A 16,999-nucleotide genomic window follows, 5' to 3' on the forward strand; every position below is an offset into this window, starting at 1 on the left:
TCATGTTTTTTTCCTCTTTCTTTAACTCTTACACAAGTGTTCATCAATCCCTGATGCCCATTCAGGAACACTCCTCAATCCCAGACACCCAAAGATACTGAAGTCAGGTTCTTTTCCTTTTTCTTTTTTTTTTGTCTCGCTCTGTCACTCAGGCTGGAGAGCGGTGGCGTGATCTCAGCTCACTGCAATCTCACCTCCTGGGTTCAAGCGATTCTCCTGCTTCAGCCTCCCGAGTAGCTGGGACTACAGGTCTCCATCTCCTGACCTCGTGATCCACCCGCCTTGGCCTCCCAAAGTGCTGGGATTACAGGTGTGAGCCATTGTGCCCAGCTGAGGTCAGGTACTCTTTTTAGCGAGTATTCCCATTTTAAAAAATCTTTTTAAATAAAAAGAACCTGGCTCCAAAAAAACCATTTGCATGTATGATACCTCATTGAAACCTCAGAGCCATCCAACCGGGTCAGGTCTACCCGAATTGCCATGGACAGAGAACAAGACTGGGGCACCGAGAGGTTTAGATGACTTTTCTGTGGTGACACAGCCAGTGAGTGGCAGAGACACAGGAATGCCACCCCACCCCTGCTCTGGCCACCACCGGCACTCCAGGTTCTGACACCCCATGCCGTGGAATCGCACGGTGGGATCCCAGCTGACCCAGGGTGCTCCGTCTCCACCCTGGCTTTCCATCTGGCCCACACAGGTGAAGTGCAAAGGCTGATCTCAGAGAAACCATCAGAGGTACTATCACACTGCCTCATCAGTGACAGTCACTCTCCTGGCCAGGTGCATGGGCGTGGATGTGGATCACATCAGGTGTGGAACAGAGGCAGCGCACTCCTCGAGCCCCAGGTGTTTGTGGGAAGCCAACCATACCCTGAATCTCTCCTAGGTACAGGTAGGCCCAGGTGCAGCTCTGACAGGCTCGCCACTCCCGGGCAGGAAACCTCCCAGCCTCAGTCAGCTCCTCTTAATCAGCCCCTCTTCATCTCCAACCAGGATCACCAGTCTGCCAGGCCCCTTCCTGTGCTCCTCAGGAGGCCAGCAGTCTGCCAATATCTGGAACTTAATGAAATGAGAGTAAAAGTGAATCCCTGAGGTTGCCTTATTTTTCCTCCATTGAACCTCTTTCCAGTTCCCTCAGTCTCTCTCTGCCTTTGTTTTATAGTAAGAGGCTACATTTGGACCAGGTGAGCTACTGGTCACGCAGGAGTCGATCTTGCTGTCCTCCTCTGGCTGGACACTATGGCCTGGAACTGACTTCCAGCTCAGGAGTTTGAGCCCAGGAAGCTTATCCTCTGTTTTCACATGCTAGTAGTCACCCTTTTGGTCTGATTGCTGTTGAAAACCACGCAATACAACACCTGCAACTCTGTCGGAAGCCTGTGACAATCAAACTGCATTCACCCAGACTGTGTTCAGAGGCGCATATGTCTTAGAGTTTGCAAATGCATATATTCAAGTCTAAAATCTGTGTTTCAGAAAGCAACAGCCAACCAGATTTAGCAAGTCCCACCCATTTGCCGTAGGTACACCAGACCAATTTTTTAAATGAGTAAAACATTTTTTTTTTTTTTGAGACTGAGTCTCACTCCATCGCCCAGGCTGGAATGCAGTGGCACGATCTCAGCTCACTGCAACCTCTGCCTCCTGGGTTCAAGCGATTCTCGTACCTCAGCCTCCCAAGTAGCTAGAATTACAGCATGTGCCGCCATGCCCAGCTAATTTTTGTAGTTTTAGTAGAGATGGGGTTTCACTATGTTGGCTAGGCTGGTTTCAAACTCCTGACCTCGGCCTCCCAAAGTGCTGGGATTACAGGCATGAGCCACCATGTCCAGCCAAAACATTATTTTAAAGCTAAGCTCCCCACCCTCTTGCTATTCCTTTGGTTCCCCTCTCTCCCCGGGACAAACCCCATTCAACTCTAACATGCATCCCATCTCTGGATATTTCTCACTGTTACAAGGCAGTCATGTAGCCAGGACCACCGTGTCCTGATGTCTAGTGTGTTTGACAACTAACAGAAAAGGGATTTGGCGTTTTTATTTTATTTTGAGACTGAATCTCACTCTATCACCCAGGCGCAATCTTGGCTCACTGCAACCTCCACCTCCCAGAGGCTCAAGTGATTCTCCTGCCTCAGCCTCCCAAGTAGCTGGGATTCTAGGCATGCACCACCACATCCAGCTAATTTTTTGTATTTTTAGTAGAGAAGGAGTTTCACTGTGTTGGCCAGGCTGATCTCGAACTCCTGACCTCAAGTGATCCTCCCACCTCGGCCTCCCAAAGTGCTGGGATTACAGGCATGAACCATGGCGCCCGGCTGGAAAAGAGATCATCCTGTCCACAGCTGGGCCCTATTCGGGATCATCTCTTAGGAGGGCCCTAGCTCCTTTCCTGGACTGTATCTTGTCCCCATGATTGAACAAGGGTGGCTTTCAGGAAGAGGATGGGGAAAGTCCAGCCCAGAACCAGGCCCTACAGCAGAAGGCAAAAAAAAAAAAAAAAAAAAAAAAAAAAAGGTGATTCCCTTGACTCTGGCCCCCTAAGGGCAATGTGAGCCCCCCAAAACCATGAGTCCAACTCCCTGTTGTCTGGGGAGCAGCACCACAGCCCAGGATGGCTTGGGGGATGCATTGGATGAGGGAGAAGCAGGCCCACAAAGGGGAGATGAATGTGTCAAGATCACACAGCCAGGCAGGGCACAGTAGGGACTAGACCTGTGCTCAAGGTACTGGGCCATTTTGCATTTCTGAATGGGCAGCAGCATCAGAACCTTCATACTCCTCATACCACTGACGGCAGGCTCTGTGCATGGGGATATCCTTGACCCTGCACCTGGCACAGAGGGAAGCCAGCCAGCTGCGGACAGTCACGCCCTGGGGCTCTGAGCTGCTCCACTGCACCTGGGGCATCCTGCACCGGGGTGGACAGTTCCCAGTCAAGACGACGAAGACTAGGAGACCCGACCTGGGAACTCTACGTGGCGCCAGAGTGCCCCCTGCTGGCTGACCGCCAAGCAACCCAAACCTCACGTCTGCATCTAAGACTTCTCTTGACTCCCGCCCAGGAGAGCTGAGGGTTGGGTTCAGCGCCCACCTTCTCCTAGGAAGTTTCTCCTGGACCTGCTCTATCCAACCTCTATCTCAGCTGCCGACTACAGGGCCCCCTGCTGTTTCCAGTTCCTGGCCCACCCAGAGTTTTTCCTACTCATGTGGGCTACCCCCAGGACACTGGGAGCGAGGCCCTTGTTTAAGGAATCGTCTTCAGCATCACGGCAGAGGAGGAGCCCACCCATGTCAGGGTGAGTGCTGGGGTCTCAGGGAAGCCCGTCCACCATGGGCAGCGACATTATTTTCCCAATTGTTCTGCGATTCCCATCTCTCTTGGGAACAGGGCTTGCGCTCTGACTGTGAGTGAACAAGATGACCACAAGGGGGCAGCAGAGACAAAAAGCTTCGCCTGAAAACCATTTGCTAAAGTTCTCCACCCACGAGGTAAATCAGTTCCCAGTCCTGGCTGCACACTGGATTCACCTGGTGAGCTTTAAACACTACCGATGCCAAGTTCCCACCCCTACAAATGCTGAGTTAATGGCCCTGGGGTGCCATCCTAACATCTTTTTACAATCTCCCAAGGGAAACTTTAATTTAAAATGCAGAAGGCAGTGGAGGAGGGAAAGAGCGACCTTTCAGGCCATTCTTCTATCGGGCTAGGGCTGAGGATCACTGGGTTAGACCCTTGTTAATGCAAAGCGTGGCTCACGGACCACCAGCATCAAGGTCACCTGGGAGCTTGTTAGAAATAAGGACCTGCCCCAAACCTACTGAGTCAGAATCTGCAATTTAACAGATTCTCCAGAGAATTCATCTGCATATTAAAAGTCTAAGAAACTTACGGTCCTCTTTACCAAAAAGGCACTAGGGAGGTCCTGGTCCAATGCCATATGTACAGTCTGTGGATGCACAGATTAAAGCCCCGAGGCAGGAGTCCCTTTGCCCAAGGTCATTGGCCATGTATTCAGTGGGATGGCACAAACCTGAAGGCCCTGACTCCAGGACCAGTGCACCTTCTCCCACAGCACCCTGCTCCTCCAACCCAGAGGTGGGCCTGGGCACAAGAGGGCAGGAAATGGTGGCAGGAGTTTGGTGGGGTCTTTGAATTTCCCTGTTAGCACGTGTCCTGTGGGGATCCCAGGGATAGCTAAGATACCATCCCTGGCTCAAGGAACTTCTATCCTCATATCTAACTCTGGACAGACGCACTTGGTATCAGTCAAACACAACCTCTTACCTTGAGTCACGTACTAGAACCATCTCTAAATCTAGCAAAACAGAGGAGGGAGAAAAAGACTAGTTTGGATACGTAGCCTGGAAAGGTTTCCTGCAGTCCAGGCAGTGCAGGAGGAGGGTGGGTTAGGTTTCAGGGGCCAGTGGAGGAGGGGGCTGCATTTCAGACCAAAAGACCAAGATGAATGAAGGGTATAGATATACAGGAAAGGATCCACATGACCAGGGCATAGGTAAGGGCTGGGAAGTTGTGGGAGATAAAGCTGGGATGGGACAGGGGCTCGCGGCACAGACCAGACCCTAAAAGCAGGCAGAGCACTTGGCCAGGTAGAACCAATTCAGACCCTGGGCTGGAGGCCACAGAGAGCCATGGAAAGTGTTTGAGCCAGGAGAGGAGTCTGGGCCTTGGAAAGACCTTCCAGCATCAGTCCTGTCAGGTTTTGGAGATGATGCAATGAAGAGAGAGGCTACAGGAACCCTCATCCTGAGAGCTCACTGAGTACACGGATCAAGGCTCATTCATCTCAAGGTCACCAGCATTTGCCAGAGTATTAGCCCCTGGAAGGTGACCTGCAAACAACCATCTCTAAGGGAGACCAGCCTTTAACCCAAGGATGATTTCATTCTTAAGGTCCAGGCTGGGCACGGTGGCTCACGCCTGGAATCCCAACAGTTTGGGAGGCCGAGGCAGGCGGATCACTTGAGACCAGGGGTTTGAGACCAGCCTGGGCAACCTAGTGAAACCCTATCTCCACACACACAAATATATATATATATATATATATATATATATCCGAGTGTGGTGGCACATGCCTGTACTCACAGATACTTGGGGGGCTGAGGTAGAAAGATTGCTTGAGCCTGGAAGGCGGAGGTTGCAGTAAGTCAGGATCGTGCCACTGCACTTTGGGCTGTGTGACAGAGCAAGACCTCATCTCAAAAAAAGTAAAATAATTAATAAATAAATAAAACTTAAGGTCCAGAACAGGAAACGTAGGTCATACTCTTGGGACCTTGAGCTTGTTACACTGTGGGGTGGGGATGACCATAGAAATTCCCTTGTGAGATTACAGTGAGACTCACCTGTGATAATGCGTGTTACCTACCTGGCATCTAGGTGAGGCTCAATGTCATGGCAACTCCATTCTACCTGCTTTTCCCAGGGCTTCTGTGACTTTGCACCATCGTAGTAGTCTCTGGAGCCCCTTGAGATTTCCCTTCAATCTCTTCTTGCCTCCTAATTAACAGCAGCATTTATTGAATGCTTTGACCATATTAAAACACTTTGCATATGTGAACTCGTTTGGTCCTACAGTCATGCCTTGATTCATTCTCTAAATTTTTATTTATTTATTTATTTTTTGAGACAGAGTTTTGCTCTTGTTACCCAGGCTGGAGTGCAGTGGCATGATCTTGGCTCACTGCAACCTCCCCACCTTCTGGTTTCAAGCGATTCTCCTGCCTCAGCCTCCCAAGGATTACAGGCGCCCGCCACCATGCCTGGCTAATTTTTGTATTTTTAGTAGAGATGGGGTTTCACCACATTGGCCAGGCTGGTCTCAAACTCCTGACCTCATGATCCACCCGCCTTGGCCTCCCAAAATGCTGGGATTATAGGTGTGAGCCACCGCACCCGGCCCCATTCCCCAATTGAAAGATGAGAAAACTCAAGGGCAGAGCTGGCACATGAGCATAACAGGGACTTGAATCTGATTACTGGCTCAAGCACCCCTCTCCTAACTACTCTTTCTCATGGCCTCCAATGTGTGACTGACCAAGACTCTCCCCTGGCCACTCCATGACCCTCAGGCCACGATCTCCCTCCATAACTCCTTCTCTGACAGTTGAGGGGGCAAATCTCAAGTCTTTGTTCTGAGCCTTGGTCTTCTCCTTTGACCAACATAACCACATGTCCAGAGACCAGTGGGCTAGATCCACATGGACATCTGTCTTCACCTGAAACCCAACCAGCCCCAACTCTAGTCTGAGCCTTGGGCAGCTTGCCCTTGGTCCCTCCACTACAGTACTGAGTTCATTCTCTCCGGAAGTCTAGTTCATCAAGGCCCTGCTGGTTTCCACCCAGGACTGTGGGATCCTGGAGGACAGGCATCTGTCCTCAGGTGCCTCTCACAGCCCCAAGCACAGTAAGTGCTGGACTTACCTCTTCTCTAGCCAGCATCCCTCCCAATTCACCTATTTCAGCTCACAGTGCTACCCTCCATCCCTTGACCCATCCCTCTCCAACAGCTGCCTCATCCCCCAATGGTCCTCTCTGCTCAGAACCACTTTCACCTGCCTCTTAGATTGTTCACTCCCTGACATTCCACCCCACCAACTGCTCCTCCCTGCCCTCCAGCAGGCTCAGGTGAAATCCAACCCCACCCGTTTTTATTTATTTTTTGAGACAGGGTCTCCCTCTGTCATCCAGGCTGGAGTGCAGTGGCACGATCATGGCTCACTACAGCCTCAACCTCCCTGGGTCAAGTGATCCTCCCACCTCACCCCCCCACAAGTAGCTGGAACTAGAGACACGCACTACCACACCTGGCTAGTTTTTTAATTTTTTGTAGAGATGCGGTCTTATCATGTTGCCCAGGCTGGTCTCAAACTCCTGGGCTCAAGTGATCCTCCTGGTTCAGCTTCCAAAGTGCTTGGATTATAGGCATGAGCCACCGCACCCAGCCTACCCCTTGAAATTTAACCATACTCTGTCCCCATTCAAGTTAGTTTCTGTGACTTTCCCAGTGAACTGGAAACTCCTTGGGGGAAGGAACTGTGTCTACTTATTTTTGTCCCCACAACACTGTCCCAGTAACTGGCATATGTTTGAGGACCATTTTAATGTGTGTGTGAATTGTCCAAGTCTTTTCTCTTTTTTCTGTGGAGTATTTCATCCTCTGTCCCTCAATTTTTAAGAGTTCTGTATATATAAGGGAGATTAGCCCTTTGTCTGTGGTATGTGTTACAAATATTTTCTCTCAATTTTTCAGTTACTTTGGTTTCTGTGGTTTGGGTTTTTTGTTTTGTCTGGTTTGGTTTGGTTTGGTTTGCCATGTCCAATTTGCCAGAATTTTATTTCATTGCTTCTGGATTCTGAGTGATGCTTTCAAATCCTTTCCTTACACTGAGGTTAAGAGGAATTCACCCACGGACTTTTTCCCCCTAGTACTTACATGTTTTCATTTTTTACACTTAAATTCATGATCCATTTGAGTTTATTCTTATATATGCTGTGAACAATAGATCTAATTTTATCTTTTTTTAAAAAAAAAAAGACTACCCCATTATCCCAGTACCATTTATTAAAAAGTCTGGGCCAAGCACAGTGGCTCATGTCTGTAATCCCAGCACTTTGGAAGGTCAAGATGAGTGAATCACTTGAGGTCAGGAGTTTCAGACCAGCCTGGCCAACATGGGGAAACCCCATCTCTACCAGAATAAATAAATAAATAATACAAAAATTAGCCAGGTATGGTGGTGCACACCTGTAATCCCAGCTACTTGGGAGGATGCGGCACAAGAATCGCTTAAGCCCAGGAGGTGGAGGTTTCAGTGAGCTGAGATCGTGCCACTGCACTCCAGTCTGGATGACAGAGCAAGACTCCATCTCAAAAAATAAATAAATAAATAAATAAATAGTCTATCATTGCCTCTGAGATTTCACATGCCACCTTTATCATATACTAAATTCCCATTCGTACTTAGGTCTGTTCTGTACTTTCTATTCTATTCCATTGGTCTGTCTGTCTGTTCATGTGGTCAATGCCACACTGTTCTAATTACAGAGGCTTTATAGTTTGTTTTAACAGCCCATAGGGTGAGGCCCCCATTTTGGTCAGTTTTTCCCTGGCTATTTCAGCATGTTTATTTTCCATAGAAACTTTAGTATCAGCTTATCAACTCCATGAAACAAAGCTTATTGGTATTTTTATAGGAATGGCATTCAATTTATAAGTCAACTTGGGGGGAAAAGGGCATCTTGATGTTGAGTTATGATAGCCAAAAACAAGGGATGTCTTCCCACTCCACGTGCTTTAGTGTTTTCCAGAAGTGTTGTAAAATTTTCCCTTTATAGATTTTGCACATTTCTTATTAAGTTTATCCCTAAGTATTTAATCATCTTTGTTGCTACTATATGTAGTAGGGTGCTGCAGGGACCACAGCCTTTGCCACTTCCCTCTGGAGGCTGCAGCTCACCCGGAAAAAGGCTAGGGACACAGGAGACCCCCACTTCAGACTCCTCTCCTGCAGCTGCTGCCCCTCAGGCCAAGGAACAGCCCTCTCTGTTGGAAGGGAGCCCCCAGAACAGAGGCCATCCAAACCTGAGGCAGAGGGGGACCATATCCTCCTCACCAATCTAAGAGGCTTCCCCAAAGACCTCACCCCCAGCTTTTGCAGACCCAGCCTAGTGCCTGGGCTTCAGCTGAGAGGCTGGGGGGATGTTTTCCTTCCTGCCCCAGAGACTGTCAACTGAATCCTCAAAATGTATCTGAAGGAATGGGAGACATTCTAAATATACTGTTTGACTCTGAACAAAAAGATCAAAAGTTCAGGGACATTCTTTGAGGCCATCAGAGTACAAAACAGAAATCAGTCAAAGGAAGAGTCTGGGCTTCAACATATCAAATTAAATTCTAGTGAGGAAACTGCTTGTTAATTTGGAGCCAGTTAACAAGAGAAAACAGAGACAATGTGAAATATAACAAAACCATATGTGAGATTTAATAACACTTTCTAAGGTAAGAAGAGCTTTAAAGAATTTAAATGCAAAGGAGACACGTGGATCTAACTTCTGTCTGGCTCGGGAAGAACACATGAGGCTTCAGAATTCCTACAGGAAAAAGAGAAACAGAGAAACCAACATGCTGCCTTTAATGACTTCATCAAATGCCATGAGCAATCTCAGAGAGTCCTCCATGTCCTTTTTTGCAAGACACAAGAAAACGCCCATCTAAAAGATCACATTACACCATGAGAAGCGCCGGCAGGCCAGTAGAGCGATGAGACACAGTTTCGGACAAGTCAGACGGCAGATGACTTCGACAGAGTCTTCGTTAACCATGATGGGGAAAAGCACAGACTACTTCCAGGCAACACAGAGGGAGGTTGTATCAGACAAGCAACATCTGGAAGAACAGTAAATCCGCTGAAAGAAGGTGACTATCCACTGCATAAGGCCAACACTCTCCTGAAAAGATCAACGTGCATCTGCACAGCCCACTCATGCAGAGCATTAGCAGAAAATCACAGCCCTTAAGCAAGGTGACTCTGGAAGAGAAAGAAATGGAAGCGAGACGCAGCCTTCCAAATGCACTTCGGAAGAGCATCCGCAAGACAGGGGCTGGGAGAGCAACTGCCATAGTGAAAAGTAACATTGACTTACTTCATGGGACCAAGCCTCTTCTGGAACATCAATCTAAAAACCACAGAGCCTGAATGAAAGCTGTTAGCAAACGGAATCTCAAAAACCAGTTTGCTTAGCAAGGAAAAGAACAGGAAGGGAAGTGGCAAAATCTTTCCCCCAGAAGAAAATAACCAAAACTCCAAGACCTGGATTAAAAATGAGAAAAACAAGAAAGGCCTTATACGATCCAGAGTTGCATTCTGAACAAGAACACCCATGAACTCTCCTTCATGGCATAGTATGTTAAAAGAGCTCTTGCCAGCCCGGTGCGGTGGCTCACGCCTGTAATCCCAGCACTTTGGGAGGCCAAGGCAGGCAGATCACCTGAGGTCGGGAGTTCAAGACCAGCCTGACCAACATGGAGAAACCCTGTCTCTACTAAAAACATAAAATTAGCCAGGTGTGGTGGCACATGCCTATAATCCCAGCTACTTGGGAGGCTGAGGCAGGAGAATCGCTTGAACTCAGGAGGCGGAGGTTGCAGTGAGCCGAGATCACGCCATTGCACTCCAGCCTGGGGCATAAGAGCAAAACTCCCTATCAAAAAAAAAAAAAAAAAAAGGAGCTCTTGCCACAGAGAAAGTAGGTGCTACCAACTTGAGACACATTTCAGGGTAAACATACAGAGGAAGGGAGAGTCTTCAATCAACTGTGTTCCTCAAAACAGCCCTGAGAAGCAACAGTCATCAGAGACTTCCTGCAAGATACCCTCAACCACTGGAGTTTTGGCCCCACCCCCATTCCCACACCAGGTGAGGTCTTCTTCCCACCACCAACAACCAGTCAACCCATGGGGGTCTTTCTTGCTGGAGGAGCCCAGTGTACATTAGAGGCCTCAAGAATAGTTCCTAGGGCCATCTGAGGCCTCCAGTGCAGTACGTACCTCCTATTAGATAGAGCTGAGGCCCCATCAATACATGCAAGAAATCCTTCCCCTTTGAAAAGTTGGTGTCACAGGCCGCCTGTCATTTCCATGAGTTCAATGATCACACCAAGACAAGGGTGTCCACCCCACCAGGGAGACCACTGCCCTAACCAGAAAGACTTCCCATGTCTCCTCTTCCTCCCCTCTGTGGTTCCCTTTAGACCCCCTCAAGATAATACAATCTATGTTTTCTCCAAGTAAGAACTACCTTTTGCCCAAGAGGGTATATGTAGACAACAATCTAAGGTTTGGAGTTTTAAAAAACTCTTGACCACTATGTAGACTACTCCCCAAACTATTTGCTCCTACGGAATAACCTGCATCTTAGTTTAGCTCCTATCAGCTTTGTAAGCATAAATGACTTAGAAATTAACAATAGCTTTCCATGCAATAGGGCTCCCACAATGTGGTGCACGTTCCTAAAGCCTTCCAGACTTTCTATAAGAAGTGTGGCAAGCACCAACCCCACAAAGTGGCACAGGACAAGAAGGGCAAGGATGCCATGTATACGCGGGGAAAGTGGCGTCATGACAGGAAGCAGAGCAGCAATCTTGGGCTGAGTACTCAGGAGGCTGAGGCATGAGAATTGCTTAAGCCCAGCAGGCGGAGGTCGCAGTGAGCCGAGATCACGCCACTGCACTCCAGCCTTGGCGACAGAGCGAGACTCCATCTCAATAAATAAAAAATATAAATAAATAAGTATAAAAAGTCCATCACTGCCTCTGAGATTTGACATGCCACCTTTATCATATACTAAATTCCCATTTGTACTTAGGTCTATTCTGTACTTTCTATCCTATTCCATTGGTCTGTCTGCCTGTTCATGTGGCCAATGCCACACTGTTCTAATTACAGAGGCTTTATAGTTTGTTTTAATAGCCCATAGGGCTAAGCCCCCATTTTGTGTCAGTTTTTCCCTGGCTATTCCAGCACGTTTATTTTCCATAGAAACTTTAGTATCGACTTACCAACTCCATGAAACAAAGCTTGTTGGTATTTTTATAGGAATGGCATTCAATTTATAAATCAACTTGGAAGGAATGGGCATCTTGATGATGAGTTGTGATAGCCAAAAACAAGGTAGTCTTCCCACTCCACGTGCTTTTGTGTTTTCCAGAAGTGTTGTAAAATTTTCCTTTTATAGACTTTGCACATTTCTTATTAAGTTTATCTCTAAGTATTTAATCTTCTTTGTTGCTATTATACATGGGGTTTTCTTAAGTCCTCTAACCTAAGTATTGTTTGTGTATATCAAGGCCACTGATTTCTGTAAGCCGATTTTCCAGAAAAAGGCTAAAACTACAAAGGAGATGGTGCTGAGGCTTGAGCGCTGAGCCCAGCTACAGATCTAAGACGATGCGGGCTATGAGGACATGCAAGCATTTTGAACTGGGAGGAGATAAGAAGAGAAAGGGCCAAGTGATTCAGTTCTAAATTTCATCTTTTGTTTTATTATGAAGACAATAAAATCTTGAGGTTATGTTCACTTCAAAGAAAAGAAATGTATGATAAATTTTATACTGTAAATAAATCCTTTTTTGTGGGTGAGTGGCAGGCATTCCTCAGTTATCCCGGTGGGAACCGGGGGAATATAACAGACAGGCCTGAAATTTGGCAGCTCTGGAAGCCACTCCTACTTCCTAGCAGAGGGTCTTGAGAATAACTGGACCCATTCCACACCAGGTGGTGAGGAGAGAGGGCTCAGCCAGGCCAGGAGGGATCCTCCATCTCTAAGTGGCCGCAAGTCAGTGATCAGTGACAATCAGTGATCAGCCAGCCACTGCCTTCCCGTGCTAGGCACATTCTGTCCACTCTATAATATAACCTCCCTTCAGCAGCCCAGTGAAGTAGATTCAGGTATGATCACCATCTTATGGGAACAGAGAGGTTAAGATACTTGTCAAAGGTCTCACAGCCAAGCATGGCAGACCTGGGGATAAATAGATCACTCCAGCAACCGCGCACAGTGGTTTCCAGGACTGACCCCATCATTCACAGAGGAGAAACAAGCCCAGAGGGGGAAGAGACATTCTCAAGGTCACGCAGCCAGTCCAGGTCTCCTGCACAGGGCCCTTTGCATCCATGGCCACGTACTGGGGTGTAAGATGCAATGCAAGGCTTCCCCCTGGAGGAAGGGCCAGAAATTGCAGACAACCCTACCAGAGGCCCTGGGCAGCTTCACTCTGCATGATGGTGGATTTAGTGACCTGCCCCAGGAGGTTCTCCTTTCTTCTTCTTTTTTATTTTATTTTATTATTTTATTTTATCGCCCAGGCTAGAGTGCAGTGGCACCATCTCAGCTCACTGCAACCTCCACCTCCTGGGTTTAAGTGATTCTCCCTCCTTGGCCTCCTGAGTAGCTGGGATTACAGGCATGCATCACCACACCCCAGCTAATTTCTTTGTATTTTTAGTAGAGACAAGTTTCACCATGTGGGCCAGACTGGTCTCGAACTCCTGACCTCAGGTGATCCTCCCACCTCGGCCTCCCAAAGTGCTGGGATTACAGGTGTGAACCACTGCGCCCAGCCTTTATTTTTTGAAACAGGGTCTCTGTCACTCAAGCAGGAGTGCAGTGGCATGATCTTAGCTCACTGCTGCCTCAAACTCCTGGGCACAAGTGATCCTCCTGCCTCAGCCTCCCAAGTAGCTGGGACTACACGTGCATGACACCACATCCAGCTAACTTTTTTTTTCGTAGAGATAGGCGTTTCACTTGGTCGCCCAGGCTGGTCTCAAACTCCTGGGCTCAAGCAATCCTCCTGCTTTGGCCTCCCAAAGTACTGGGACTACAGGTGTGAGCCACTGTGTTGGGCTCCTCTCTTATTAGTGCCCCACTGTGGAATCTTCTGGACCCTGTTGGTGAAGTCATATCAGGGGCCCCGTATACACAAGGGAATTTTTCCTCTCACTGCATGATGAAATCATTGACTCTCTCAAGATTCAAGTTCCAGGAAGCCCCTAACAAAAAAGAAGAAAGAAAGAAAGGGCCAAGTGCCATGGCTCATGCCTGTAATCTCAGCACTTTGAGACCCCCTGTTGCTACAAAAAAAAATGTTTTTAATTAGCCAGATGTGGTGGTGTGCACCCGTAGTTCCAACTACTCCGGAGACTGAGGCAGGAGGATTGCTTGAGGCCAGGAGTTCAAGGCTGAGGATTGCCCAGGAGTTCAAGGCTGCCATGAGCAGTGATCACTCTGCTGCACTCCAGCCTGGGTGAGAGAGCTTGAGAGCCTGTCTCTCAAACCAAAAAAAAAAAAAAAAAACAAAAAAAAACCACACCTAGAGAGAGATGGCTTTCCATGTCAGAGACACTGGGATGGATACAGTAGAGACAAAACCTGAGTGGATGGCGCTGTCTGTCCTCACAAAAGTGATGACTTCTTGGATGTCTCAGATGCACAGTCTGGTGAGCAGAGAGCTGGGGTAGGCCAGGGAAAGGACCAAATGCCAGCCAAAGACGGGCGCAGTGGCCACCTCTAATCCCAGCACTTTGGGAGGCTGAGGCGGGCAAATCGCTTGAGGTCAGGACTTCGAGACCAGCGTGGCCAATGTGGTGAAACCCCATCTCTACTAAAAATACAAAAATTAGCCAGGAGTGGTGGCACATGCCTGTAATCCCAGCTCCTCAGGAGGCTGAGGCACAAGAACCACTTGAACCTGGGAGGCGGAGGTTGCAGTGAGCTGAGATCATGCCACTGCACTCCAGCCTGGACAACAGAGCAAGACTCTGTCTAAAAACAAACACACAAATGCCAGCCAAAGAAGTGAGGGGACTCCTCACAGTCGGGATCATATCTGAGCTGAGTGTGAAAGGTGAATGGCTTCAGGCATAAAGAAGACAGTAAGAAATGCCTGGGGAGACAGAGAAGGCTTGGCTGGTGCCTTTCTCACTGGTCCCTGGTCCTGCTGCCTCCCCTCCGCTCCTCCCTCCCTGCGCACCAAAGTCCTGGGGCTGCTCCAATGGCCGACTCCTTCCAATCTTCTATTGCTTTCTCCTCCCCGCTGGTCATGCCAGCCTCATCTCATAGCCACCCCTGCCCCTGGCATTGTCCATGTCTCTTGTTCTCACCATGCACCCAGCCTCACACACCCACCCCTAACACTGAACGCTTGGATCTCTGCTTCCTACGTAGAACTGTCTACAATCTTCCTGCATACCTGCTGCAAGGAATTCAGAAAACTCCATACCAGCCTCTGCCCCTAAGAAAGAGAAGTCAGCTCACGGAAAGAGGAAAGGCACAAAGAGGTAGCAGAGAAAGAACATTCCCTGCTAGTTCTGGGCCACTGTGGCAAGGGGATCGCAGAAGGAAGGGGTCTTGTGGACCACGGATGCTGGGGTAGGACTGGGTAAGTGGGAGGATGGCAGGAAGGTTCTGCACGGGTCCGTGGAAGTGGGTGGCCCGTTTCATCCAGGTGGGAGAGTGTGGGTTGGCCTTGTCCTTGCAGGGCCCTGTGGAGTATTTCCCCAAAGGCTGGGAGAAGCCACTCAAGGTTAGGAGCGGGACATCTTGAAAAATATGTTTAAAGTGATTGCTAGAACAAACCATGTTCCTTCCCTCTATAGCTTCTCTGGCTGAGCAGCTCTTCAAAGCATCTGGGAACCACCCCAACTGGGGATGCTGCCTGACCATCAGCTCCCCGGGGCCGAGTGTGTATGGCCCCAAGATGAACATGAGGGGAGCCCCAAATTCAAGGCTGGCTGGTGGCAGAGAGAAACGCACCCAGGACACAGACTTCGGGCAGTGCTCCTTCCTCCCTTCACACTCTCCCTCCTGCTTTGAACCTGGAATGGTGAGAGCAGCTGAGGGCAGCTTGGGGGTGGGATCCTGAGCCCCCCTTTCCCCACACCTCTGGGCACGTGGAATGTGGCCCACCCAGGGGTGGCTCAGATCCTGTCTCTGGATCGCAGAGGCCCCAGCCTAATGGAGAAGGCAGGACTAACACACAGAGAACAACTGAGAACCCCCTCAAACCCTGGGATGTGCTAGTCACCAAGTGCCCTAGGAGATCAGAGAAGAAAGAATCAGAGTGACCACTGTGCAAGAAATCACCGGAAACCAGTTCCCAAAGGAGCACCGAAACCCCGATCAGAAGAGCAGGTGTGTGTGTGTTGGGGGGGGGGGGGGGGTAGAAGAGACTAGTCCTATCAGGTAGTGAAATATATGATTGGTTATCTGGTAAAAACAAGCAAAAATGCCACAAGGTCTTAGAGAATGAGTAAGCTGGCAAGTTCAAGGTCGTCATCTTACCCAAAATGGTTTTTGGGCAATGGGATGGGGTGAAGACTCCCTGGGGCAGTAACATCCCTGAAACAGTGAGAAGGGAATCTTGAGATGGGGAGAGCTCCCTCCACCCACCCATCCACTCGCCCATCCCTCCCCGCACCCTTTATTCCTGTCATCTTTTCATGTGACAATAAATTGGACAGCCCTGCTTGGAGCCAGCAGTGCGACTCTGCTGCCCTTCATAGACCCTCTGGGCCTATGTGTAACCAGGAAGCAAGATTATTTGAGAAAGAAGAGAGAAAAAGAAAAACGCGGGATGCAAAATAAACAAATAAATAAATAAATGAATTGGCAAGTCCAAGGCAACCATAATTTCTTCCCTCCATTTTCCGACTGAATTCACGTCCAAGAATCTTCTGGAACCTTCCCTCCCTGCTTCCACCTCACCCCCACCTCGACTCCAGGACCTAGACCTGGGCCTGGAGATTTCACACCCCACACCCCTTCTCTGCCCTCCTGCCCTCCTGCCGCGCTCTCCTGCTCCCCAGGGCCCTACTCACCCCTCGCTCCGGGGTCGCCCCTGACGCCCACCCGCGGCTGAGGTCGCACGCTCCAGCCTCAGTCCACCCTGGAACCCTGCATTTGGCAGCCACGAGAGCCCATCTCCCGCCCAATCAAGAGGCCGTCGCCCTGGAGACGGAGGACCCCAGCTGGGGTCACCCCTTGCAGCCTCCTCTCCCGTGCTTGCCGGTTCTTGCCACCCTCCGCCGCTTGCACCGGACCCAGGCGCTCATCCCCCGCTTCCCCCGCGCCCCAGCCCGGTCACGCCTCGGAGCTTGTCCCCACCTGGCCGTGCTCAGAGTCTGCCTGCCCGGCGTCCCACACGCACCGCAGGGCCCCACCGCCTCTTGGTGAGCCGCGGTGGCTCGGGTCCCGGGTCCCCAATAGGCTGCGCTCCCGGCAGGCAGCTTTCTTCCCGGCGCGGGGCTCGTTCCCTGAGGCCAGGCCGCTCAGTGGCCGCAAGAGCGACCTTCCCACATGTCCCCAGGTGTGCGCACAAGCCCGGGGTGAGACCAGAAGCTGCTGCCTGCAGAGCCCGACCTTGCGTAGATGACTCCGCGAGTGCAAGGGGCTGCAGGCATTTTCTTACAGGAGGT

At 49.6% G+C, this 16,999-nt stretch overlaps 1 long non-coding RNA gene across 1 annotated transcript, besides 3 other annotated features; it reads right to left on the reverse strand.

The window, feature by feature from the left end:
• Positions 1 to 968: 968 nt before the first annotated feature.
• On the reverse strand, positions 969 to 16,992 carry LINC02136 (long intergenic non-protein coding RNA 2136). Its single transcript, NR_146574.1, has 3 exons — positions 16,689 to 16,992; positions 5,393 to 5,523; positions 969 to 1,062 (listed from the first exon to the last, which is right to left on the reverse strand). It is a non-coding gene; the product is annotated as a long intergenic non-protein coding RNA 2136 (long non-coding RNA).
• Positions 2,550 to 3,051: an enhancer, noted in NCBI's record as "H3K4me1 hESC enhancer chr16:71445925-71446426 (GRCh37/hg19 assembly coordinates)". NCBI's record gives its function as "activates a minimal SCP1, AML or CMV promoter by ChIP-STARR-seq in naive H9 embryonic stem cells {active_cell/tissue: H9 hESC(naive)}" and the evidence as "EXISTENCE:reporter gene assay evidence [ECO:0000049][PMID:30033119]".
• Positions 3,125 to 3,214: an enhancer, noted in NCBI's record as "active region_11071". NCBI's record gives its function as "activates an Ori minimal core promoter by ATAC-STARR-seq in GM12878 lymphoblastoid cells {active_cell/tissue: GM12878}" and the evidence as "EXISTENCE:reporter gene assay evidence [ECO:0000049][PMID:35858748]".
• Positions 16,410 to 16,910: an enhancer, noted in NCBI's record as "H3K4me1 hESC enhancer chr16:71459785-71460285 (GRCh37/hg19 assembly coordinates)". NCBI's record gives its function as "activates a minimal SCP1, AML or CMV promoter by ChIP-STARR-seq in naive H9 embryonic stem cells {active_cell/tissue: H9 hESC(naive)}" and the evidence as "EXISTENCE:reporter gene assay evidence [ECO:0000049][PMID:30033119]".

The sequence above is a fragment of the Homo sapiens genome, chromosome 16 (genome assembly GCF_000001405.40).
Source record: "Homo sapiens chromosome 16, GRCh38.p14 Primary Assembly".
NCBI lineage: Eukaryota > Metazoa > Chordata > Mammalia > Primates > Hominidae > Homo > Homo sapiens.